Here is a 26,387-nt window from a genome sequence, read left to right as displayed (position 1 = left end):
TAGTATTAAAACTTTTTTATTTGAATAAGTGGGGAGAAGAGAAATATATTTCAGCACTTAGATATATAAATTATTTCCAAAACAGTTTAATACTCAACTAGTCGGTTCTATCAAAATCAGTTTTCCCTGAAGTAAGCACTGTTCCCAGCTACAAGCGATCCTCATTTCACATGGTACTGTGGGACCATAAAAATGGTCCTGCAATCTTAATAATCAATAGGGAAAATGATGATTGTTCCATGACCTTTAAGGTTCTGCTCAAATATTAAAAACTCTTAAGACCAGTTATAAATGTAGAAAAAAATGCAAAAATGTTTAAAAATATTTAGTACACTGTAATTTAAAACATTAGAAATAGAATTAAAGTGTTTTATTTCATTGTAAAAACAAAGTAGTTTGAATAGGGCTTGCCTTTTTTTCTGGCAAGTAACTTACCATACTGAGTAAGCATCTTTTATGTTCACGGCAAACTGCCATACTCCTTCTAAGTTTGGGTCAGCTTCCACCCTTTTATTGCTTGTGCTTTCAATGTTGTGAAATATTTCTATATTCACATTAAATATCTTTTAATGTAAAGTTTTTTTTTTTTAACCATCACTTCCTCTGGGACGTATCTGTCTTTATTGCAACCACTTTGCTTATTTGTGTTGGTAAGTTTGCCTTCACTAAGCTCCTATGAATACACAGCAGCAAGAACAACATTCCCATGGTCAGTGACTTCTTCTACAAATTCATTTATGTTTGATTAAAATTTCACTTCCAGTGTTATCATTTTTCATTGCTTTGCTGCACTTTCATCTTTGTTGACCAGTTCTTTCGAGTGTTCACTTCTATAGAATGTCAAGTAGATGACAGAGAGACAGCATAACTACATGCTCTGCTGTACGTGAACTGAATTAACAGATGCACAGGGACAAACCACTGGAAGAATTTGAAAGAAATAACATGACTGGTCACAATCATGAAGCATATCTGTTATTTACATAGCGATTTGTAGACTGAAGAGCTAGCAGAGAGGTTTGTACTTCATGTAATTACTCAGTTACAATGTGCTAACTAAAATTTTAACCTAGATTTTAACAACAACAGTTTCCTTACCAGTTTTCTTTCCTTCCTGGTAAGGAAACTGGTATTTAAACTAAATCTAGGTCACTGAAATTTGTGCCCATGGGAAACATGCAAATAGAGGACTGCCTACACCCTACTTGTTTATATTGATCCAGACAGGCTTAACGCTGACTACTGAAAAATAGCCTATCTGAATTTATATCAAATAGTGAATCTTAAAGCACCCAAGATGAAAAATTAGGGCACACTGAGATGGTTTTAAAATCTTTGTCATATGATAATCAAGCTTAAAATGTATCTTAGAGTAACAGATTTTTAGAAATAAAGACCTTTAAAGGCTCCATAGTTTGGTACCGCAGATTATCCAGCATGTTTATTATGAATTATTTCTCCTCCTTCAATTTCAATTTGCTCATACAGCCACTTGCGGTCACAGCGGCATTCAGCTCCACACTTGGTAGAACCACAGGCAGGACAAGCATAGAAACATCCTAAGCAGTCTTCATCCAGGCAGTCACAGAGGTCCATCCCACTAAAAATCAGGAGACCCTGGCTATCATAGACCTTACTCTTTGCTGGTATCACTTGTCTGTAAAATAAAACACAATGAATTATACCTCATAAATATGTTATTTTTGATTTAATTGAAAATACAGTAAAAAAAAAAAAGGAGATAAAATATTTTTAGATGAGGTCATGCCAAAATCATCTATAATTTATCAGGCTCAAGGCTTATTCTATCGTCAGCAGTAAATGAACTCCATGTGAGAAGAGGAGACCTAACTCTATAGAGTGTTGAGACAAATCTAAAAATTCTGAATACGCTTCTTGAAGTGCATAATTTTCCCTTTACTTTAAACAAACAAAAAAGAATGACAGGTTAATAGTGGTTCACTTTATTAGCTACCAACCTCTTCACTGTTTTATCAACACAGTTTTATTTTTATTATAGTATACCACCTCTATAGATTTTTATACTACAATTAATGTTTCTTGTTCTTTAATGGACTCTAGTAAATTTGGCCTAAAAATATTTAAATGACTCAATGGTAAATTTTAACAGATGGAATACATGGCATATATAGAAATGTTGACTGAACTTAGAAAAAAAATTCTGAATGATTATATTAACATTTGTTTTAGAGTCATATTCTAAACAATTTAGTTCTCCCATTCATTATGTTGACTATACAGAACTGCATTTCTATTTCAGACATGTAAAAAATAAAAACCTTGCATTCTCATAAAATGTAATTACCTTTTAGCTGCTACCCATAGAACGGAGATATATGAATTACAGGCACATTTCGGAGGTATTGTGGGTTTGGTTCCAGACCACCCCCAATAAAGTGAGTCACACACACACACACACACACACATATATATATATATATTTTTTTGCTTTTCCAGTGCATATAAAAGTTAAGCTTACACTATAGCCTATTAAGTGTGCAACAGCCTTATGTCTAAGAAAAAAATGTATGTACCTTAATTTAAAAATGCTCTATTGCTAAAAAATGCTAACAATGATCTGAAACTTCAATGAGTTGTAGTTTTTTTGCTGGTGGAGGATCTTGCCCCAGTGAGGACAGCTGACTGATCAGGGAGGTCGTTGCTGAAGGCTAGGGTAGCTGTGGCAATTTCTTAAAGACTACAGTGAAGTTTGCTGCATCAGTGGACTCTTCTTACAAAAGATTTCTCTGTAGCATGTGATGGTGTTTGATAGCATTTTACCTACAGTAGAATGTTCAAAATTGGAGTCATCCTCTCAAATTCTGCCTCTGCTTTATCTACTAAGTTTATATAATCTAAGTCCTTTGTCATTTCAGTAATGTTAACAGCATCCTCACCAGTAGATTCCACCTTAATAAATCACATTCTTTGCTCATCTCTAAGAAGAAACTCCTTATCCATTCAAGTTTTATCACAAGATTGCAATAACTCAGTCACATCTCCAGGCTCTGCTTCTAATTCTAGTTCTCTTGCTATTTCCACCACGTCTGCAACTACTTCCTCCACTGAAGTCCTGAACCCCTCAAAGTCATCCATGAGGACTCGAATCTTCTTCCAAACTCTTGGAATGGTGAATCCTTTCCAGAAGGTGTTCAATTTACTTTGCCCAAATCCATCAGAGGAATCACTCACTGTCTATGGCAGCTCTGGCCTCACAAAACGTATTTCTTAAATAACAGACTTGAAAGTCAAAGTACTCCTTGATCCGTGGGCTACAGAATGAATGTTGTGTTAGGAGGCATGAAACATTTATCTCCTGGGACATCTCTATCAGAGCTCCTGAGTGATCAGGTACATTGTCAATGAGTAGCAATATTTTGAAAGGAATCCTTTTATCTAGGCAGGAGGTCTCTCAAGTGGGCTTAAAATATTCAATGAACAATGCTGTAAACAGATATGCTGCCATTCAGGCTTTGTCCCATTTATACAGGACAGGTAGAGTACATTTAGCATCATTAGGACCCTAGGATTTCGAAGAGGTAAATAATTGGCTTCAACTTAAAAGTCACCAGCTGCATTCGTCCCTACCAAGAGAAACGGCCTGTCCTTTGAAGATTTGAAGCCAGGTATAGACTTCCCCTCTCTAGCTATGAAAGACGGCATCTTCTTCCATTAGAAGGCTGTTTGTTGGCTGGGCGTGGTGGCTCACACCTGTAATCCCAGCACTTTGGGAGGCCAAGGTGGGCAGATCACGAGGGCAGGAGATCGAGACCATCCTGGCTAACATGGTGAAACCCGTCTCTACTAAAAATACAAAAAATTAGCTGGCTGTGGTGGCACGTGCCTGTAGTCCCAGCTACCCAAGAGGTTGAGGCAGAAGAATCGCTTGAACGCAGCAGGTGGCGGGTGTAGTGAGCTGAGTTTGCGCCACTGCACCTCAGGCTGGGTGACAGAGCAAGACTCCATCTCAAAAAAAAAAAAAAAAAAAAAAAAAGAAGGCTGGTCTACATTGAAAATCTGTTGGGTAGTGTAGCTACCTTCATTAATAACTTGCTGCTTCACCTTGCACTTTTATGTTATGGAGATGGCTTCTTTCCTTACCCTCATAAACCAACCTCTGCTAGCTTCAAACTTTTCTTCTGAAGCTTCCTCACTTCTCTCATCCTTCAGAGAATTGAAGAGGGTTAGAACCTTGCTTTGGATTAGGCTTTTGCTTAAGGGAATGTGTTGTAGCTGGTTTGATCTTCTATCCAGACCATTTAAAGTTTCTCCATATTAGCAATAAGGCTGTTTTGCTTTCTTATCATTTGTGTTCAATGGAATGGTACTTTTAATGTCCTTCCTGAACTTTTTCTTTGCATTCACAACTTGGCTGTTTAGCACAAGAGGCCCAGCTTTTGGCCTGTCTCAGCTTTTGACGTGCCTTACTCCCAAGCTTAATCATTTCTAGCTTTTTTTGTAAAATGAGAAACTTGACTCTTCCTTTCACTTGAACACTTAGAGACCATTGCAGGGTTATTAGTTGGACCAATTTCAATATATTTGTTTCTCAGGGAATAGGGACACCTGAGGAGAGGGAGAGAGTCTAGAGAACAGCCAGTAGGTGGAGCAGTAAGAACACCCACAGCATTTATCGACTAAGTTCACCACCTTGCATTAGTGTGGTTCCTAGTGACTCAAAATAATTATAATAGTAACATCAAAGATCATCATAACAGATACAGTAATGAAAAAGCTGGAAATATTGCAATAATTACCAAAATGCGACAGAGATAGGGAGTACATGCTGTTAGAAAAATGACACCAATAGACTTGCTTACCACCGAGTTGCCACAAATTTTCAATTTGTAAAAATAAATAGCACCTTGTAAAGAATAAAGTGAAGCACCAATAAAATGAGGTATGTCCGTATATATATAATAACAATGCTTTTCAAATAAGTGAATTACTTTAATTGTAATTATTTTAACTCTCATGCCAAAATTATTTCTTCAGTTCACTGCTACCTTCTTAGAAACAAATTTTTGTAGTTGAAAGGGATACCTTAATTTTATATGAATAAAAACAAAGGCCTTCATAGGTTTTTACTAATTCTACATTATCCAATTTAAAATATGAACCCAGAAAATTCAAAATTTAAGAGAAAAATAGGGGAACAATGCAGATGTGAAGCAGCAAGTTAACATGTCTTCAGTAACACTTAGCCTACCTGTCTGAACCAGCGGTTGCATTTTTTGTAAGCCTTCTTTTTTCTCTTTTACCAGTTTCTGGAGCAAATTCAGTTTGCCTTCCTGGATTCGTAAATTGTAATGACCTCAAAGCTTTAGCAGTTCTTCCCTGAAGAAAGGTAAACAAATTATCAACTCAAATCTTGACAACAGACAACAGATTAACATTTTATTTAATGTTAAACCAGACGATTCCCTAACATGGAAGACAGTCTGGAACACACAAAAAAGAAAACAAGGTTTTAGAGCCTAAGTGCAAGAAAATTTACATGGCCCTAGACCATATTCAAAGCATATTGGTTAATGTATTAGTAACATTTCCATTATTTTATTTTAGTCTCTGGTATATTAGGAGCAGAGGAGGAAGGCATTGTGAAAACTGCAATGGCTGCTGCCAACACAGGAGAGAAGGCACAAAAACTGCTATATAATCCAGTGGCACATAACTGATTTCCTAACAATCCTGGGTCCTTATTATTGTATTTTATATATTTTTAAGAGCAGAGAATATGATTTCAAGTTCTAGAATAGTATTATAATCTTTTTGAAAAGTTTTGGTGAAACAAAATTTCGGTGTTTAAGGGTTTATGTTTGTTATTTGGGGAGGAAAGAGCTGCAGCTGATATATTCTACAAGAACATTGGATAGATAAGGTGAAGACATCTACAATGACACTATCAGCAAGTATCTAGTATGAACTACAGATAAACTGGGCCCTCAAGATGTTCCTCTGAGAAGACAACAACAGGAAAATAGTATAATTTCAAATTTCAACTATCTTTTAACTTGGTTTAATAAAAAGGAGAAAACTGAGAAAAATATTCCAGCAGTAAGAATTATGAAATAATTACAAGTAAAAATTCTGAGATGTGCTTCTTTGATATACTTGTCCTACACAAAAGATAGCTTTATGAAAACTTAAGTTGTTCTGATATGGTTAAATATGCATGTAGGCATGTCAATAGGAATAGAGGTAAAATATTTAATACTTTACAATGTAAAAATGTATTATTTTTTTTTTACCTCAAGGAGTCCTAAAATTAGCCTTGACCATATCAAGTAGGAATTCAGAACTAGAAGCAAAGAAAATTCACAAGCATTTAAAAAACTCAAGAACGAGACAGTGTCAAAGGAGAAAAAAAGAGTGAAATAAAAAACAATTACTGTAAGTCACCTCTCTAATGTTCCTTTTAAAGCAGTGATTTCCAAGTCCTTCATATAAAGGCGAAGTCATCCTGCTGCAAAGACCCTTGGTGGTTGCCATGTCCCGTGTAGTTACTTTGGTATCAGAAAAGAAACTAAATCCTGGCTTGGCCAGAATATTCTAAAACCCACTCCTAAAGTCTTCGCACTAAAAGTTGTAGCTTGGAGTCTTAGGCATATTTTATTATTACTTTCCCAGGCCTACTTTCTTTATCCCCCAATCTTGACCTTCAGTATATGTGAATAATATTTAGAAACATCATCCACTTTCACCCCTCCTTTTAATTCACTGTATGCTAACAAATTTAGTAATAATGTAAATATGATTTTCTTATAGTTAAGCAAAATCCTACATGGTAGAATTCACAATGTAGAAAAAAATGACTATTACACATACATCTGACTCAGGTTTCCTTTTCTGGCGGTCTTCAGTATCAACATCCACACTTCCATTGATTATCTGTGTGCATTTTGGACAAAGCTTCCAACCAGGTACAAGCTGTCTTCCAAATTTAGCACTCAGAAAAGTGGCATCATCTAAGTCAATTACATGCAAATTTTTTTTGGCTAATTTCTTGTGTATGTTAAATGGGTCACAACATGACTTCTGTAAATCCTCAAATCTGTCAATGTAAATTTTTACATGATGAAAGCAAATTGTATTGTTCCCAGAAAGTGTCATTCCAGTTCTAAGTTGAAGTAAAAGCATATCATTTGATGACAATTCTTGCAAAGTCTTAAAACCTGTGTGACGAGTATAGTAGGTTTTATGGCACTCATTTGTAGTACGAAGCTGGACTCCAACTGAACATGGATCCATCATTCTTGATTCTAGCAAATTTTCCGTTTTATTTTGTCTGGAGGTTTAGGTCATGGGCTGATCACCCTAGAGAAAATATTAAAGAGAATCAAATTTGTGCTGCAAGTTTATCTAGGAAACTGAAAAAGCATTTGATAAAATTCAACACCTATCTAAAAGAAAATAAGGAATAAAAAAGGTATTTATCGAAGTCTTATAATAGACATTTAATAATCAAACAGAAGCGTTCCCTGTAAAGTCAGAACTTCACGAAAACATCTGCAATTACAGATTATATTTAAGACCACATAAGAATTAAAAAGGAGGAAATAAGAAATATTATCCTAAGATACATGAGAAATACAAGAGGTTTAACAAACTATTAGAACTAATAAGAGAATTCACCAGGGATGCTAGAAACCAAAAAACACTGTATCTTACAAAATATGTGACTCTTACAAAAGACATACAACAAGACCTTCATGGAGAAAATTATCAAACTGCAAGACAAAAACGGTACCCTAAATAAATGCAGCTATATATCATGGAGTGGCTCATTATAAAAAATATGTCAATTATCTGGGAATACATCTGTAAATTCAGTTCTGTTACAATCAAAGTTCCATCAGATATTCTACTGCCACCCCCTTGGAATTTAGCAAGCTGGTCTATATGAAAGAGCAAAGGTCTAAGAAAGCCAAGGTAATCCTGAAGGAAAATACAGTAACATATTGATTTACTTTAAACCTATTCTAATTAAAACTATGGTATTGGTATAGTATAAACAAACAGATCCATGAGTAGATGAGGGCTCAGTATATGACATGTGGTACTATTAATCGATGGGTATCACACACTAATGAAGAAGGGACTTTAACCATATGGAAAAACAATTAGATCTCTTCTGCACAAACAAAAATCAATAACAAGTGGATTAAAGATTTAAACATGAAAAGAAAAACTAAACATGTTTATGAGAAAATAAAGAAGGTTTTCTGACATGGAAGTATGGAAGAATTTTTCAAACAAGCAAGCAGATACCAAAAAAATAAATAAATAAAAAGATGGATATATTTGATTATATGTAAAATTTACACATTTCTGTATAACTAAAGGAGAAAAAAAAAGACACTTGAAAGGTGTTAGGATTATTATCATAAATATTCGAGTAACTCCTCACTTCCAAAAATCAATTAGAAAATGACAGAGTCCACTGGAAAACTAAACAAATATAGTCAGGCAATTCACAGAGAAAGAGAACAAAAGCCAATACATGCATACAAACTGTTTCCCCCATAGTTCCTAGGAAAATGCAAATTAAATATCATTTATTAAACATTTGCTTGAAATCAATTTAAAAATCTGATATCTGGTTAAGATGTGTCCAACTCTCACATGCTCCTTATAATAACTTTGGTAGGAATGTAAATTGCTGCAACTGCTTTAGAACATTTTCTGCAATTTCTTGTAAAACTGAGGAAGCATACACCTTGGGACTCAGCTCTTTTCAGTTCTGGGTGTCAGATGGAGAAAAATATCTCCAATAAGAGCACAAGTTATATACGAAAACTTTCAGCATTCACTGCCTTTGGCAGTGAAAGATGACAAATAACCTAATTGTAAAGGATGTGAAATCGTTACTCATACAAGGGACTCCCACATAACAGTTAAAATGAATAAACTACATGAATTACGTGAATCAACATGAATAAATCTCAAAGACAATCTTAAGTGAAAAAAGTTGTAAAGGTTATATAGTATCATCATTAAAGGTAAAATTTAAAAAGATAAGATAGTACATAAGATTTACAGATGAAACATGAATATATACTAAAATATACATAAGAGTAACATATATCACATTTGTGGATACTTCTGAGGGGAAAAAACATTATTTTCCCCAAAAAGATTTACAGAAAATAAGGTTTGGTGACATGTACATAAGTGCTTCACTACTGTCCATACTTTCTATTTGAAATTTTTCATAAATAATTTTCAAAGCAAATTAAAAAAAAAAGTTGGATTCTCAAGAAAATATGCAACCAATGCAACTCATTAGGAAAAAATCTGCTGTTGAGAAAAAATGTGAACCACTGAAATCTGAGTGGTAGGGAGGGACTGTGAAGTCTAGGATTCAGCAATTTTACAAGTGTTTTTAAGCTTTGCAAAATTAAAAAAAAAACAAAAACTGGAGAGAAATCTTAAACACATTTTGATATGGTTTCTGCAGAGAAAAACAATAATCAGCAAAATCATATAAAAAGAAGACTCTGGCCTCAGGTAACAAAAAATGGCGAATAAATGTCTGTGTTTTAGGTCAAAATACTGTATTTACAAAGTTAAAAAATAAAATACACTTTAAAGTGTTAAAATATGTTACTGAACATTTTAACTGAAAAAAGTTTTAAAGCTGGTAAAAACAGAGTATATTTATATTCATTTACTGTGTTTTAGTCAGTTTTTAAAATGAACTAATACAGGTCCCAATCAAATCAGATAAAATGGCTTCTATCACAGTAATAATTAGAAAAGTTTCTTCTAGCCAGGCATTGTGGCTCCTGCCTGTAATCCCAGCACTTTGGGAGGCCAATGTGGGTTGATCACTTGATGCCAGGAGTTCTAGACTAGACTGGCTAACATAGTGAAATCTCGTGTCTACTAAAAATACAAAAATATTAGTCAGGTGTGGTAGTGCAGCTATATGGGAGGTTGAGGCATGAGAATCGCTTGAACCCAGGAGGCGGAAGTTGCGGTGAGCCGAGATCGTGTCACTGGACTCCAGCCCGGGCGACAAAGCGAGACTCTCATCTCAAAAAATAAAAAAATAAAAAAAATTTTTTTTTTCTTCAAACAGATAATTGGATTAAGATAAATTAAGGAGGAGAAAAAGGAAATCAGAGGTAAAGTTACAAGGCAACGAACTATGTGGCAATGTATATTAGCAAATAAGGGACACAATCTGGCTTTGACCTTTCTTATTTTTTATATATATTTTTTGAGACGGAGTCTCGCTCTGTCGCCCAGGCTAGAGTGCAGTGGCGAGATCTTGGCTCACTGCAAGCTCCACCTACCGGGTTAACGCCATTCTCCTGCCTCAGCCTCCAGAGTAGCTGGGACTACAGGTGCCCGCCACCACGCCTGGCTAAATTTTGCTTTTTTTTTTTTTTTTTGTATTTTTAGTAGAGATGGCGTTTCACCATGTTAGCCAGGATGGTCTCGATCTCCTGACCTCGTGATCCGCCTGCCTCAGCCTCCCAAAGTGCTGGGATTACAGGCATGAGCCACCGTGCCTGGCCTGACCTTTCTTAATACAAGGGAAACTAGGACAACTATCCCTCATCACTGTACAGAAAATAATGCTTAGTATTTTGTTAATGCCAGAGATTCTTTTTATTTGGAGGTAATCATCACCAGTTTTTAGCCACAGATCTATAATGGAACTTTTTTTGCCATAAAGCTATTTCCTAATATTCAAAACTTGGGCTACCATGGTCATATTTGATAGGAAAAGCATCTTGGATTTAGGAAACTAATTACTTTAGAAACCTTATCTGTCCATAGTAATAATACATTTTTACCCTTTAGGGTAATTTCATTTACTCTATTAATTTTAATTTTAGGTAAAAAATTCTTTTCCTTAGTTATTGGGGAGTCTCTGTTCCATTAGTTTCCTTTATTCATGGCTAAATTACTACAAAATTCAACAGAGTTCATCATGATTAAAGGAAACTAATGGAATAGACTCTGTAACTTGTGCCAGTGAAGTTGAATACCTATTTCTGAAATTCCTGGCCTCAAGTGATCTTCTCACCTCAGCCTTCTGAGTAGGTGGGTCCTGTAAGTTGTTTACAGGAAGTTCAGTTTTTCTTAGTAACAGGCAGCACATTGAGCTAGCACCAAAGATCTCTACTTACTGGATGCAGAAAATGGGGTCACCAGACTTGGCAAATAAAAAACGCAGGATGCCCTGTTAGATTTGAATTTCAGACAACGAATTACTTCTTTACAGGATCAGCTCATTTTAAAATTAAAATATCCTATCTGATAGAAGACATTGCCAACTGTGATAAAAACTAAATTTTACACAGATTAAAATTCAGCGGCAAACTAATCCCACTCACTTGAGTAAAACTGCACACACCTGAGTAAAACTGCACACACCTGAGTCAAGGTAGTTTTAAAGTCTTCCATAGGTTAGCTTTCTGATCTACGATTAGGCAGTTTGTTCACATACTGTCAAAGAGTCCAAGTCCAGCTAGCTCAAGGAACACCAAATTTCAGACACTGATCCTAAGTGGTCACTGTTTGCATTCTAAAAATCACACCCTCTGGTTGTTCCTCCTCTGTTATATTCCTCAATGTTCTCATTTCCAGCTCTTTCTGACTTCCTCCTATAAGCTAAAGTTCTGCATTTGGGCCTGTTTCCTAGCAACTGTTTTTGCTCATTTTGGTCTGTGTTCTGGCAATGTGGCCTACAGTTTATATTTTGTTTTCTTCAAATGACAGTCCAGCAAGTTCATATTGTTCCTTTCACCTACAGTACAGTGCTATGTTCTTCCATAACGATGATTTATCTGGCCCCTTCCTTAATATAGTTGGAAATGCATTACTGTTTACTCTCCCTGAATCAGCACTGGCATCAGCTGAGACCTCAGTAGAAATACAGAATCTCAGTATCAGCTCCAGACCCAATGAGTCAGGATCTGCATTTCAAAAAGATACCCAAGTGATTTGTAAGCACATTACAGTTTGCTATGTACTGCTTCAGATAATTCAATTAAAAAATTTAAATTTAAAATGTTTTGATATCTTCTATATTTTATAGAAGATAGCAAAAAAGAGTAAGAAAAACACAGATATGTATTTGCCTTACAGGAAGTCTAACTCTAGGGAAGATTATTGAGGGAGAGGAGATTTAAATTCGATACACTAAGGACAGAGAAAAACATCTGCTTCAATAGAAAACTGCACTGTTGAGAGCACAGCCTTTCAGGTTTTCACATTCTGATTACATGGGAAGTCTGATTCTTTCAGCATCTTGGAGCTATTTTACAACTGTCAACTGTAGATAACCAACAGCAATGCAAAATAATTGTCTGTATTCTTGTAAATTCTATCTGCTGAAGGTTCAATGGACTTCCGTCTGACTGTGGAAGCAGCCAATTTTGCCCTCACTTGCACATTTATTTCAATATTCCTGCTCTATAAACATGTCTACTTTTAATTGTCATTTAAACTGGTTATAGCATCTTACCAGTTCCTATTTTAATAATCTTTTAACGCAAGAAAAGATTAATTTGCTCCAAACACTTTGGTCAATATAAAACCTAGTACTCTTCATGGAAGAAAAAAAATCCAGCTTCTTATAGGATAACAAGCAAACCAATAACAAAAACCCCAGTTTTAGAAAGATTCACCATGGTATAAATAAAATCCAGGTTTTCAATACTTTTCAATGTCAAATAATAAAAACACTTTTTGGCAAGTTGAATTTTGCTTGAGCCCTGTGCTGGCTCCTTATTAGCTATAATTTAAAAAATCCTCCCACCCTTGAGTTAGGTAAGACTCAAGGATCCCCCCTTGTTTACCTATGACCAGGCAAAAGAAAGACCCTCCAAATTCTCATTTTTTGCTTCAACTATGAATTTATGAATAATTTGCTGATCTGCTTGGCCCTACAGATCAAGTGGAACAAAATACTTGTTAATCAAACTTTAGTTTCTCTCCTTCCCCCAGGTTCCTGAGCTTTGGCCAACTCTCAGCCAGAGCCAAGGAATAACATTCTCAGATCTACTATTAGATCAAGCCACCCTTATATCCTACTTCCTCACACCAAAACTTTCTAGCACAGTTCACTCCTTGGAGATTCTTGCAGATCTTTTGGTTCTACCCATTGCAAAAGTCCCTTTTCTCCTTTTGTGATAACCCTTTTGAATAAAGTCTCTCCTAAGTCCAGATTTCTTATCTGACATTGTCTTTTAAAAATTCTGCATAGGAGAAAATTAAGACTTTCTGCTGCCTTAGGATTGACATCACTTTACTTTAGTGCCTAAATACAGCATGTTTTGTATTCTAAGATTAACATTTAATATTTTTGTAGCACTACCTAAGAATCAAAAGAGAATGAAATAAATGTAGAATACTTTGATTAGACCTCTCCTACTACCTTAGGCAGTAAACAAAAGTATTTGCTCCTCATACAATTTGAACGCTGCCAGCTCAGGGAATTATCCAGCTTTACTTTAAAACATCAGTAGTTTTAAAGAGTTCTTAAGCATTTTCTCTTGCTGCCCATTACCAAACGGTAAGGAAGGTAGATTAGGTTGAGGAAGCTGAGAAAACTCACACGCGGCCATGATGCTTGCAAGGTCTAGGACATTATCACAGGGGTTTCGGGGTGTTAATGCAGAACACCCCCCCCACCACTAACAAAACAGCAAAACAGCCACTAACAAAACAACAGCAGAGGGAATTGAGGATTAATTAGGGAACTCACTTTTTCTTCCTAAATTTGTAGGGGAGATGCAGAAATACCCGTTCCAATATGTTAATTTCCCTTAACATAGTTTTTTAGTTTGTTACCAGTCTCCTTATTAGTGGGAAAAGTAACATTTAGAGGAAATTTAACAAAACAAAAAATTTACTTCGTTTTTAGGTCAACTGATGTCTCTTTTATGAAAAACATAAAAAAAGTTTTCATGAAATGTTTTATGAAAAAAATTAAAGGCTTTTCTTGGCATAGGGTCTTACAACTTACACAGCGTCTTCCCAGATTATCTCTTATTTAATAAAAATATAATTTAATCTACCCCTACTCCCCAAATCAGGAGCTTTAGTTATGGGTACATACGCCTACAAAAGTCACGCATCCTGCAACTGTGAACTTTTTGTGCCTGTCATCTTCAAATACTGATTACCTATAACATGACAATTGGCCCAAAGGCAAAGAGGAGAGTCTCAATCCTCAGGAAGATCTAGGTACAATAAGAAAGGTAAAGGCAATTTAAAACAAAAATATAGTCCATAACACCATTGAAAAGATTTGGTTCAAGTGTGGTAGTCAGGACATGCCAGGTACAGTGCTTAGGGCAAACATCATTTCAGGAACCTTCATAGCCACCCTGAGGAAAGTACTATCATTCTCATTTACAGATGAAGAAACTCAAGCCTAGAGCTGTTGTTATCATGCCTAACAGAGTGCCCCCAAACCCTGCAATGATTCCCAACCCAACCCTGTAAGAGGCCACATACATTTCTTCCTTAGTTCACGGCTATTTACAAATGACTAAAACCACCAGATCCGTCCAGTGGGCACCTACTAAGTTCATGGTACCGGGATGGAAAAATAAACATTAGCCTTTGGCCTCAAACGGCCAGGGTTGAAAGGATTCTGATTTGAAAAATTAAAAACAAAAATAGCAGAGATAAAGGCTGTCTACGGAGTTCAAGGCCACAATAACCCTAAGTAGTTCACGTCAAAATCGTAGCTTTGAAGGTCCTGGGCCTACAGGACAGGCGACGACCCTCAGAGAGGTCAGAGGCGGCAGAACCTGTGCTGGGCTTTGACACAAGGCGTTGCGTCGCAGATGAACTACGCGGGGGTAGGGGTGAGAGGCCCCGGCCAGCAGCTGGAAATCCCCCTCACGTGTGCGGGCCTCCTCTTCCACCTCTCCCCGGGTTCCCCCGTTACGCCGCCGGGCTCCCTCGCCACCCAGGGGCCTGTCTCCACTCTCCCACTCCTCTCCAGGGCCTCCCCCGTTCCCCTTCCACCTTAGCTTGAGCTCTCCTCCGCCCGGCTTCGGGCAAGATGCGAGTCCACACAGGCCACACTCGACCGACCGCTTCCCAGCCAGTCCCCGCGCTACCACTGAGAGGACGGCAAGCGCGGGCTAGAGGAGCTCAACGCCACCACAAAGAGACGTCCGGGAGAAGCCTAGAGCGGACACGAGGCTGGCCGCCTCCGGGGACGGAAGGGGCGGGGCGGTGTGAAGTGGCAAATGATTCAAGGCGAGGCAAGAGGTGCTTCAGATGCTGTCTTTTGCAGTCCTCCGAGAGGTTAGGGATGTGGGAGGTCCCTGGGGGCCATCTCTTACAAGACACAGTTTCCACTAAATTGGATCGTATTTGTACATCTCTACACCTGTGCGTGATAGTAAACTTTTGCACCCAAATACCCCGACCCCTGAAGGAGAGTGTGAGTTAAAAGGATCTGAAGAACGGACCCTTTGTTTAAGGTCTCACATTCTATTTCTTTAATTCAAGCGAAATATATTCCAAAATGCATCTTTTATTGTAAGCTATAAAAATAGCTATTACTTCGAGTAAAATGTAGGCTCCAGGAAGATGCTTGTAAATTTTCTCAGAACAGAAATGGTATTTTTATTGTATCCTTATTGTCTGTCACAGTATAGGTGCTCATTAATTTTTAAAGTGGGTTTTATTATCTAGAATCCAGGAGAACTGAAAGTCTCTTAAAGATTCTTGGCCTTTTAATTATCTTAAGGTCGGGATAGCAGGGAAACAAAAACTTGTTTTAAACTCCCAGTGAAAAATGAGGAACAGGTAAATAAGACAAGCCCCACCAAGGCCCAAGCGTGCTAGTAATTCTCTGCATCTACTGTAAGCTGTTTTCTGCAGTGCGTCTATGGTCCTCCCACCACTTTCATACTGCTCGCCGACTAGGCAAGCGATTTGATGCCTAGAACTAGGGAATGACAGAAAGGAAAAAACAATGAATAGTTTCTTCAACTGTGTCTGCAGGAGGTTGCATTCTGTAATTCTTTTACTGTTTACTTTGTGGTTGGCACTTTGTTAAGCAATGATTAGACAAAAACAAAATTTATTTCTGCTTCCAAGGAGCTCACAGACTAGTGAGAGAGGAATAAACAGTTAATCACAGTGTGGTGTGAAAAGTGTCATAACAGAAACACATGGATATAAACAGGATAAAATGATAGGGGCTAAAGCAGGAGCGTTCTGGGAGGAGATTAATGCCTGCATGGAACTTAATTTGATGCAATTGTGACTTCCTAGTAAACTAGGCAAGCTATCCTAAAGGTAATGAAACAGAGAAGGCTCACAGATCAAATTAAGATTATTAAATAATATAGCCTATTCAATTTAAGTATCCAGTGAAAAGGTGAAAGAGTTGTGGTAAGTGGACACACTTAGGATAAGGTGCAAGCAAGTGGAAGGACGCCATCACCTGAATCATGGGTTAAGTAATGTTCATATATCCTATCTGCCACAACAGCCTTCTCCGCTGGTGGTATACTTACGAGGACCAGAGGTGAGGTGTCAGCAAGGAGGCCCACAGGTGGAAAGTGCTTTGGGCCAATGGTACACACCTGCTTTATTGGATAGACGCAGAGAAGTATGCCTGGTCACAGCCAGAGCTTACTCGGTAAGTTGTTGAACAGATACAGGTTTTATTTGCATTTCCTGGGCAGAGCACATATGAGACTATTCTAAGTGTGACCAATGGGTGGCTGATTTAGAGGTGACATAGTTAATAGCCCAGAGATGTCATGATTGCTCATTGCTTAGTTTTTCCATCCCTTTTTGGCTATCAGTGACTCTCTATTCCATCATATTTCTATTTAACTTTGGCATGTCTTATAGTTTACTAACTTACTCTATATATTTTACATAATCCTGCCTATGTTTCACAAAGTACATGCTTACTCATATTCTATATTTAAAATATGCTAGGAGTTTTGCATTTATCTCATAAGCTACTAGCTTAGTTACTGTCTATAGTTAACACTTCTTACGCCTTTCATCCATCCCTAAGGAAACTGCAAAGCCTTTCAGTATGGGTAGAGTGGAAAGCTGGAAAGGCGCATAGGTAACAAATAATGCCCTTTTTATGCCATATTAGAGATACTGAATTTTAACCTGTGAAAACTGTAAAACTATCAGGAGTGTAGAGAATAGAAGAGAGGTGCGGTCCTGGGCTAGAGGGCCAGGTGGAAACTCTTGCCCTAACGCAGATGATTAAGAAGAGGGCCTCCATCAAGTGAGGCAGTGGCTCTATGGGTTGAAATGTGATTCCCTCCCACTCACCTCCTCCCACTGGATTTGGTAATGTCTAGAAACATTGTGGCTGTACCAGCAAGGGGTGCTACTAGTATCTAGAGGGGTAAAGGACAGGGTAACTGCTAAACACTTAACAATGCACAGGACAACCTCCCTCCTCCAACAACAAAGAACTAACTGGCTCAAGATTTCAGTAGAGCCAAGATTGAGAAACCCTAAATGAAGGACATTTAAAAGGCATAGAGATGATAGAAGTTAAGTAAGAATTGGTCAGATTTTTTAACTGATTAGATATAGAGGTTAGGAAGTAGTAAATAATTATTTCAGGTTTCTAGCTTGGATAACTGGGAGGTCAAAAGGAGGAATGGGCTAGGGAGAACAGAGATAAGAATTTAAATACTGAATACGCTAAGTTTTCTCAAACTTATCAAATGTACCTCCAAGTGAAGATATACAGCTGGCAGCTGGAAGAAGAGGGCAGGATAAGAGAGGGATCTCAGCTGGAAGATAAGAGTTTTGGGAGATGTTAGTCTGTGAGTGGTAGTTCTATCTTTGGAGCTGGGTGGGATAGGGAAGATGATACCTATGGAATGTATAGGGTAAAATGAGAAAGAATAGGGCTAAAGATTATTCTAAATTTCTGAGCTCTCGTTCTATTTTACTGAATCAGAATCTCGGTCCTCCAAGCCAGTCTACCAGATCATAATATCTGCAGATAAGATCCAAGAATCTGCATTTTTGGCAAGCAACCCAGGTGATTTTGCAGCACACTACGATTTTAGAACAACAGATTTAGGTCTCAGAAAAGTCTGAGAAGGAGCAGACAGCGAGGTAGCAAGAAAACTAGGGAAGAACAGAGACCCACAAACCAAGAAAGGAAAGTTTAAAGCAGGGCTCTGTCGGTGCAAGAGGTTGTTATAGAGCAGTACTGGCCATTAGAAATACAATGTGAGTCACATAAGCCATTGTAAATTTTCTAGTAGTGATATAAAAAGGTAAACAGAAGCAGATGAAATTAATTTTAGAGATAGCGCTTGTTTAACCCAATAATTAAGACATTATCATTTTAACATGCAATTAACATAAAAACTAATGAGATATGTCACGTCCTTTAATTCATATTATGTCTTGGAAACCTGGTGTGTGTATTACACCTCCAGTGCCTCTCAATTTGGTCTAGCTACACTTCAAATATTCAGTAGCCGCATGTGCCTAGTGGCTACCAGAGTGGATAGCACAGGTGTAGAAAGTCAAGTAAGGAAATAACTCATTTTCCAGCTCAGACTGAAATGAACTAGAAGGAAAATAAAAAGAACTAAATATATTCCTTAGCTGTACTAATAAGATAGTTATAGATGGTGTAATAAGACCTGTTTCAGTGATATGGTGATGGTAGAAGTCAGAATATACCCAATTAAAGAGCGGGAAGTTAGAGATGCTAACAGCTACCTGAGAGAACATCTTCAACAAGCTTTACTGTCAAGTATAAAGAGGCACCCCTTTTTTGTGTCTTTGAATGTGAATTTTAAGATTAAAGAACACAATTCAGTTTTAATTTAGGTTTTAGCAATTACATTTGGATTTCTGCTTCTGCAGAATTACCCTATCACTAGAAATATCTGGAAAATTGAGCATAATATGTGAAATGAATTGGGCACGGTAGCTCACAAGTGTAGTCCCAGCTACTGGAGAAGCTGAGATGGGAGTATCACTTGAAAAAAATATATATTTTATATATTACATACATGTATTTACGCATATATATAATATAAAATATATGATATGTATATATCATTTTATATATATTTATATACTGAATATGTTATATATAATATATAAATATATAGATATATAAAATATATGCATATGATAAAATATAATATTTATATTTTATATACATATATAAAATATATATTATAAATATATAATATGTATAAGATATATAATATATACACACATATATACATTCATATAAATCATAAGTATGTATACTTATACATATTTAGGAAAGGGTTGTATATATACATATACACATATATGTATGTATCTATGAAATCATTGTTTTCAGACATTAGCCAACAGGCAGTGCAGTATCGTGATCCCTGAGAGAAGGGAAACGAATGAATTAAGTTCCATAATGACCCCAGCTTACTATCTGGAGGCAGTGTCCAGAGCCTAGAACAGGGAGGGGAACCCAAACAAAAACCGGTGATTTCACTAAATGGAGGCGACAGAGATGGAGGTGACAGAGATGGGAAGTTGGAGAGGCTGATGGGCAGAGTATCTGAGAGGAGGACATGGCACACAGGAGAGTCTTGGACATCTGCAAGAGTGTTCCTTTGTATTGCGTACTTCCCTTTGGCTCTGAGTACTTATCTGTGCAATGGAAGGATGAAACTCCACGAGGCTAGGGAAAAGACACCAAAAAGCAGTGGGCCAAACAGTTTCTAGTACTTACACAGGGCTGGGAATAGTTTGTCTTCCCATAAGCAGGAGCAGATTGACAGACCTTGTAAGAAGCACTTATTTGTTTCTACCAATCAAAGTAACAGTAGGAGCTGGGCCAGGTTGGTCTTTCTCTCTCTCTTTCTGTCTCCACGTGGGCTCTTTGCTTAGGCTAGTTTGGTCTTCCTCACAGCATGACAGCCAGAAGGTAGTTGGATTTATTACATGGTGTCTCAGAGCTCCCAGGGTTTGTGCTCCAGGAAGCAAGGTGAAAGCCTCTTTGCCTTTCATGACTTAGCCCCTGGAAACACATAGCGTCACTTCCACTGAATTCTCTTGGTTATGTGGGAGTCATTGAGCTTGCCCCAGATTCACAGGAAAGAAACATAATCTTTACCTCTTGATGGGAGGAGTGTCAAAAAACATATTTTTTTAAAATGCTACAATACTTATCCTAATGCATACAATAGCATGGTCTGGTGTCAAATCTAATAACTACCATAATTGCAAAGTAGTAATGAATATGAATATATCCTGAGATATCTGTAACAACTATAATGTGACACAAAAAATTATGTGATTTCTGTTGGTGACAAAGTTATAGACACTGTAAACAAAGTTATTAGTACTGCAGCAGTACTAATAGGCACTGCTAATACTATTATTTGTTGCCTGCCTTTTGTAAATAAATGAAATGCTAAATTTCAATTAGAGGTTAGGAAAAATAAAGAGAAAGCTTGCTAGGGACATAGAACAGCATTTAGGACCTAGATGAAGTTAGAGACCATGAATATGCAGAGACATAAATTAATGATGTGAAAATTTCAATTTTTCTCCTAGTGTATAGTTGCCCTTGTGTGGGACCAGTGAAGGCAGACAACAGAATTAATTTAAGCAAGAGCAGTTGACGGTTAGATGTGTAAGAAGGACAAGAGACAAGAGAGTTTAGGGTTTTTTCATGGAAGTCATTAGATGGTGAGAATCATGAGATAAGACATAAGGTCAGTTTAATTTACTATAGTATTCCAGGAGCCTAGCACTATTAGTTGAGTAAGTGGAATTGTTGAAGTGATAAATCTCTTCAAATAAACAAATGAACGAAAGAGGGAAAGCTGGTTGAGAATGAAAAGAAATGGAGCTTTCAAAATCAAAATTGAAGGCAAGGAGGTGAAATCTGTGATCAAACTGAAACAATGAACAGTTGTGGTCAGAGAGTGGAACTGAAGTTTAGGATATCAGCTAGTGAGGTAGTTTCCTGTGAGAAATTCACAGCTTCTCATTAAACGCACTTGGGAAAGTGCAAAGGAGCCAAGAATTAGGAAAAAAGAGAAACATTTGCATGCAAGAATCCCAAGTTTGGGATGAGATGGCATGTACTCTGAAAGGGAATGAGGGGAATGAATTCTTAGTAATTGTTTTCATTTCCTTTGTGTAAGCTTTCATACTGAATTTTGACATACCACAAAGAAGTACACAAGTTCTAAGTCTATAGCTTGATACATTTTTATATTTGTATAACCACTACCCAGGTCAAGAAATTATGAGCTCCCCAGAAGTCTCTTGTATGCTGTCTCCTAGTTGTGAGCACCTTTTACCAAAGGTAACCACCATTCTAACTTCTTTGACCATAGATTGGTTTTGGTTATTTCTGGACTTTGAGCTTTGGAATTGTACCACATATATTCTTTTGTGTCTGGCTTCTTGTGGTCAGTATTATGTCCTTGAAATTCATTGATGCTGTATGACATCGTAAGCAATTAAATATTTGTCATTGCTGAGTGGTATTTCTATTACGTGAAACCGACAACATTTTCTTTTATCTCTTTCACTGTTGATGGACATTGGGTTCATTCAATTTGGGGCTTCTACAAATAATGCTGCAACAAACATTTGAACATTCTGTCTTTTGGTCCACATACATTTACACTTTCATTTGGATATGTAGTAGGGAGTGGAATTGCTGGATTATAGGCAATGTGTATGTTCAGTTTGAGTACATACTGCTGAAGAGTTTTTCAAAGTGGTTGCATCAATTTACATTCCTTCTAGCACCAATTTACACTCATAAACATACTCACCACCACTTGGAGTTCTCAGTTGTTATTGTTGGCTTTCATTTTAGTTATTCTGGAGGGTGCGTAACTAATTGCTTTCTAAAGCTTCAGTATCCTCCTTGGGGCATGAAACAAAACTCTAAGTGGGCTCTGGAATCAGACTGCCTGGTTCAAATCCTGGCTTAGCCACTAGTAGGATAATGTGTAGAAATTACATTAATTCTCTAAGCTTCAAATTCTTATCTGTAAAATAGAGAAAGTAGCATCTGCCTTATAGGGTTTTTGTGGGGAATAAATGAATATGTGTTTGTGTATGTGTGTGTGTTTGTGTATAACTTTTTATATATATAGTTTAGCATAGTGCCTGGCACATAGTGAGTTCTCAATAAGTGGTAGCTATAATTATTCTTGCTACTATTTATGGACCTCCAGTTATGTCTGAAAACACTGGAATGATAAGCTCACATGTATTATCTCATTCATGACATGGTATATTTCAATCTGGAAAGATGGGTATTAAATTTAAAAGAAGTGGAGTCATTATTTGAACTAGTATCCCCTAACCTCACACCCACCTTGGCCTTGCTTTCCTTATAACAATATTTAAGAGTCAGTTGATTTAAAGAAATGTGATATAGGGGATTTAACTAATGACTGGGCAGAAGGACAGATTGAAACTGTGTTTTTCAGCAGTTCTTCTGATTTGTCTCATTTAAAGTAAAGATTTCAGACTGTTGTGGGGGTGGCGTAGGGGAAGGAAATACAGATTTGTTCACAGCTGCTATTCAAAATACTAGCCATATAACTAGGAAAGAATTTGGCTCAAATAAAAACCCCAGGGCTCTTTATTGCCATCACAATCATTATTGTGTCAATTAGGATTCATCTGGGTGTCCACAGTGTGTTTGGCACAACGTCAAGGAAGGAAGCTGATGGTTACAGGAACCATTTTGGTTACATCTTCGAATGACCAAAATGGTGTGAATTAAATGCAGAAATTAATTATTAAAAATTAATAATTCAACAGCACTGGGAACAAAAAAACTAGAACTGGAAAAGGATTTAACAATTCTGTTGCATAGCTTCCTCATTTAGAGGTTGATGAGACTTAGTTCCGTAAATGGTAATGTTATACAACTAACATATAAATGACAATCTGTAAAGCTTGTACAACCAGTAAGTAATAGGGATAGTCAAGACTCACACCCAGGTTGTCTTTCTAAAAATGCAGTGTTTTTCCTACTCAATCAGGCTGCATCTCAATCTGTAAGAATCATATTCTTAGAAAACTAGAAAACATAATATCTATTTATAATATTAATATCAATTACTTCTTTTGAATTGCTCTTTTGGAAAATTGGTCAAGCCACTAGATTCTACTTGTTCTATCTATTTTGTATTAGTCATTATCTGTGATAAGAAGAGAAGGTAATGATGGCTTTGGTGGGGATGCTCTAGCTTTGGTGGAGCTTATTTAGATGAACATTATGAGCATTCTAAATATTTTTGGAAAAAATTACAAAACATTATAGATATTTTTGAGATTCCTTGAAAAAATTTCATATGGGCCTTTGGACAGATCTTTGAAGAGCAATACTGCCTAAAAGCCAGCAGAGGGAGAACAGAACATTGTTTTGCTAATTTTCACTAAGTTTCTCCTCATGCTCTTTTACATTTTATTTTTCCACATATTTAATACATTTCTTGACCATGAGATAATATTATCCTGTCCTGCACTTTTGGAAAGGGCAGAGGATGCTGCTATCATTGAATTAGAGTTTTGTTTAACTCACTGGTCAATAGGCTATCAAATGAGCTGGGTTAGACAGTTCTTAAGCATAGTCGGAGTTTATTTATGTGGCTTTCACATGTTTTTCTCTATAATAATTGTGTCAATTAGGTGATTTTAAATATTATATATAATCAAGTCAATTAATATAGATTCTCTCACCTCCAATAATTACTGCTAAGAGAAAGTTACGATGTAATAACAAGGTTTGGGATTATCTCATTAATGACTTGATGTTGCTATGTAAGAGGGCAAATGTACATTGACTCAAAAGAAAGTTGAAAATGATGACTTTTTATAATGAGAGTTTTAGAAATAAAATTCAAGTGCCAGTTAGTTGAAGTAATCACCTACTCATTCTTCCAAAAATCTTCAATACATTTCCACATTCACTATTGCTTTGTTTTCTGTATCTTCAAATTTTGAGGTACAAAACTGAATATACTACATACTTGTCCTCTAAGAATTCGTAAGAGACAGACACAGAAACAGATGATCAAAAATGTTAACAGTAGTGTTAGACATATTCATGAGGCAGTAAGTGGGCATAGAACACAGGCACCCAAACCAATAAAGGGAATCTGGAGTGGTTCCTGGAGGAGGGTCATCTGAGCTGAGATTCCTTATTTATGCTTAATTTATATTAATTCATTTATGCAAATGACATTTTTTCAAGGAATCTCAAAAATATCTATAATGTTTTTGTAATTTTTTCCAAAAATTTTCTGGGTTATTCCCTCCCCCATCCACATGGTTATGGTGAGAGCAGCTATTCTGTACATCATCACACTGCATCCCTGGGCCCCAAATGTTTGGGCCATGAGTGAGTACATGAAACATGCTGAGGCAATCAATGTCCCTCCCTAGGATTTTTCCACATGGGACTCACTGAAGCTTGAGAACTGTCAATTGCTATGTTTTCTGCCATTTGATAGAGGAAAACCAATAATAACCACAATGTGAGTCACATTGACATGCACAGGGAGAAGCAGAGACAAACTGAAGAGAATGCGTCTTCCAGAGAATGCATTCTGTTGTTACCTACAATAGATATACAATCACGTCCTTGCTCTCTGTTTCAGGAAGCATCCCAGTATCCTTACAGTAAATTTCTCTTTTTGCCTCCAGTTGGTTTGAACTGGCTTGCTTTCTTCTGCAGCCATGAGAATCCCAGCTGGTATGAAGAGTTACCAAGGCAGAGGAAGGGTGAAGGACATTTCATGGACTGCATGAGCAAAGCCACAGAGACATAAAAAAGCATGGCATGTATAGAGAAATATAAATAGTTTAGTTTTTTTGAAACAAAATGAGAGAGAAAGAGTGCTAAGAGCTTTGGTGAGAGATATGTCATTTTAAAGAGTTTAACTCTACCCTGAAGGCAGTGAAGAGCCTTACACTGGTTTAGACAGTGAGTGACTTGGTCAGATATGTGGTTTAGATAGATCACACTGGCAGGAGTTTCTTCAATAGTTCTCTCTTATCTCTGGGCTTATCCTATGTTCCCTTACCCAGGAACCTGGGGGAAGAAGATGGGACATAGAAAATGTATTATTTCACTAGCCAGAGCAAAGCCCAGAGTTATGACTTTTTATTATTTGCATTTTAATTGCTATTTAACAGTCTGTCTTCTCTTGCATTCTGAAAGTCCCACTGGAGCACAGGCCATGTCTAGTTTGTTTACCATTGAATTCCCAATGCCTATCTTAGTACCCAGAACACATGGTGATTCAATAAAAAGTTGTTAAGTGAATAAATGAGTGAATGAGTAAATAGTGATAAGGTGGAGGAGATAAATTCAAGATATATTTTGCAATAGTCAGGACTTGATGAGTTTTATAACATATCCTCCTTTACTGAGCACTTATGTGCTCTGCAGGGGACGGAGTGCTTTGCATGCATTATCTTATTTAAATTTCACAACAATCACCTGTGTAATATGTACCACAGCTCTTCCTGTTTTTCATATGGGGGAAAAAGAAGATTAAAGAGACCAAATGCTAGTTTGAACCATATGAAATTGCCACCTAATAACTTGCCCAATATAGTTAATGAGTCAGTAAGTACTCTACAAACTGAATGTGTGTTTCCTCACCAAATTTATATGTTGAAACCTAATCCCCAATGTGATGGTATTAGGAAATGGTACCTTTGGGAGGTAATTAGGTCACAGATATAGAGTCCTGATGAACGGAACTAATGCCCTTATAAGGGGCTGAAGAGGTCAGAGTTCTTCCTTCCACCATGTGAGAATACACACCAAATCTGCCAGCTCCTTGATCTTAAACTTTATAGTCTCAAGAACTGTGAGATATAAATATCTTTTGTTTATAAGCCACCAGTTTATGGTACTTTATTATAGCAGCCTAAATGGACTAAGACAAAGTGGTACTGAAACAGTTGAATATCCAGATGCAAAAAAGTAAACAATGATTTTTATGTCATACCACATACAAAAATTAATACAAAATAGATCACATATCCAAATATATCTAAACTATAAAAAAAGGTCTAGAAGCAAGTATGTGAGATATTCATTGTAGTTTTGGGTTAGACAAAATTTTTCTTAGATACAACCAAAAAAACAGGAACCATAAAATAAAAAAATGATAAATTGGATTTCATGAAAATGAAAAACTCTCACTCTTCAAAAGACACCAATGGAAATGAAAAGAAAAGCAACACAGTCTGATAAAATACTTGTAGACGTATGTCTGATAAAGAACTTGTTTCTAAAATATATCAAGAACTCTTATAATTCAATAATGGTAAGACATGACACAATTTAAAACAAACTTGGCTAAAGATGTGAA

General features: G+C 36.7%; 1 protein-coding gene and 1 long non-coding RNA gene across 12 annotated transcripts in view, besides 4 other annotated features; one reads left to right on the top strand and one right to left on the bottom strand.

Annotated features, from left to right (window-relative positions):
- On the bottom strand, window positions 1–15,120 carry ARL14EP (ARF like GTPase 14 effector protein). 2 transcript variants are annotated; one of them, NM_001441289.1, is made up of 5 exons: window positions 15,022–15,120; window positions 11,166–11,218; window positions 6,850–7,338; window positions 5,231–5,358; window positions 1–1,657 (listed from the first exon to the last, which is right to left on the bottom strand). In NM_001441289.1, exons 3-5 carry the CDS (start codon window positions 7,273–7,275, stop codon window positions 1,429–1,431), a joined length of 783 nt encoding a protein of 260 aa, NP_001428218.1. In that variant the 5' UTR covers window positions 7,276–7,338; window positions 11,166–11,218; window positions 15,022–15,120; the 3' UTR covers window positions 1–1,428. The 2 variants fall into 2 exon arrangements, with proteins under 2 accessions (NP_001428218.1, NP_689529.1); NM_152316.3 differs by lacking the exon at window positions 11,166–11,218.
- Window positions 14,853–15,458: an enhancer, noted in NCBI's record as "H3K27ac hESC enhancer chr11:30344313-30344918 (GRCh37/hg19 assembly coordinates)". NCBI's record gives its function as "activates a minimal SCP1, AML or CMV promoter by ChIP-STARR-seq in naive H9 embryonic stem cells {active_cell/tissue: H9 hESC(naive)}" and the evidence as "EXISTENCE:reporter gene assay evidence [ECO:0000049][PMID:30033119]".
- Window positions 14,891–15,020: a silencer, noted in NCBI's record as "silent region_3215". NCBI's record gives its function as "represses an Ori minimal core promoter by ATAC-STARR-seq in GM12878 lymphoblastoid cells {active_cell/tissue: GM12878}" and the evidence as "EXISTENCE:reporter gene assay evidence [ECO:0000049][PMID:35858748]".
- Window positions 15,091–15,340: an enhancer, noted in NCBI's record as "active region_4555". NCBI's record gives its function as "activates an Ori minimal core promoter by ATAC-STARR-seq in GM12878 lymphoblastoid cells {active_cell/tissue: GM12878}" and the evidence as "EXISTENCE:reporter gene assay evidence [ECO:0000049][PMID:35858748]".
- The window catches only part of ARL14EP-DT (ARL14EP divergent transcript), a 279,977-nt gene continuing 268,867 nt past the window's right edge, over window positions 15,278–26,387 (top strand). For 4 of the 10 annotated variants that reach the window (NR_187431.1, NR_187433.1, NR_187435.1 and 1 more), the window contains exons 1-3: window positions 15,278–15,306; window positions 16,505–16,654; window positions 21,264–21,334. This is a non-coding gene — a long non-coding RNA (ARL14EP divergent transcript). Of the gene's footprint in view, window positions 15,486–16,504; window positions 16,655–21,263; window positions 21,519–26,387 lie in introns of those variants that run through there. The other 6 variants (NR_187432.1, NR_187439.1, NR_187438.1 and 3 more) reach the window with 6 other exon arrangements.
- Window positions 16,675–16,734: a silencer, noted in NCBI's record as "silent region_3214". NCBI's record gives its function as "represses an Ori minimal core promoter by ATAC-STARR-seq in GM12878 lymphoblastoid cells {active_cell/tissue: GM12878}" and the evidence as "EXISTENCE:reporter gene assay evidence [ECO:0000049][PMID:35858748]".

Source organism: Homo sapiens, chromosome 11 (genome assembly GCF_000001405.40).
Source record: "Homo sapiens chromosome 11, GRCh38.p14 Primary Assembly".
Classification (NCBI taxonomy): Eukaryota; Metazoa; Chordata; class Mammalia; order Primates; family Hominidae; genus Homo; species Homo sapiens.
This window is presented reverse-complemented; position numbering and strand designations above follow the sequence as displayed.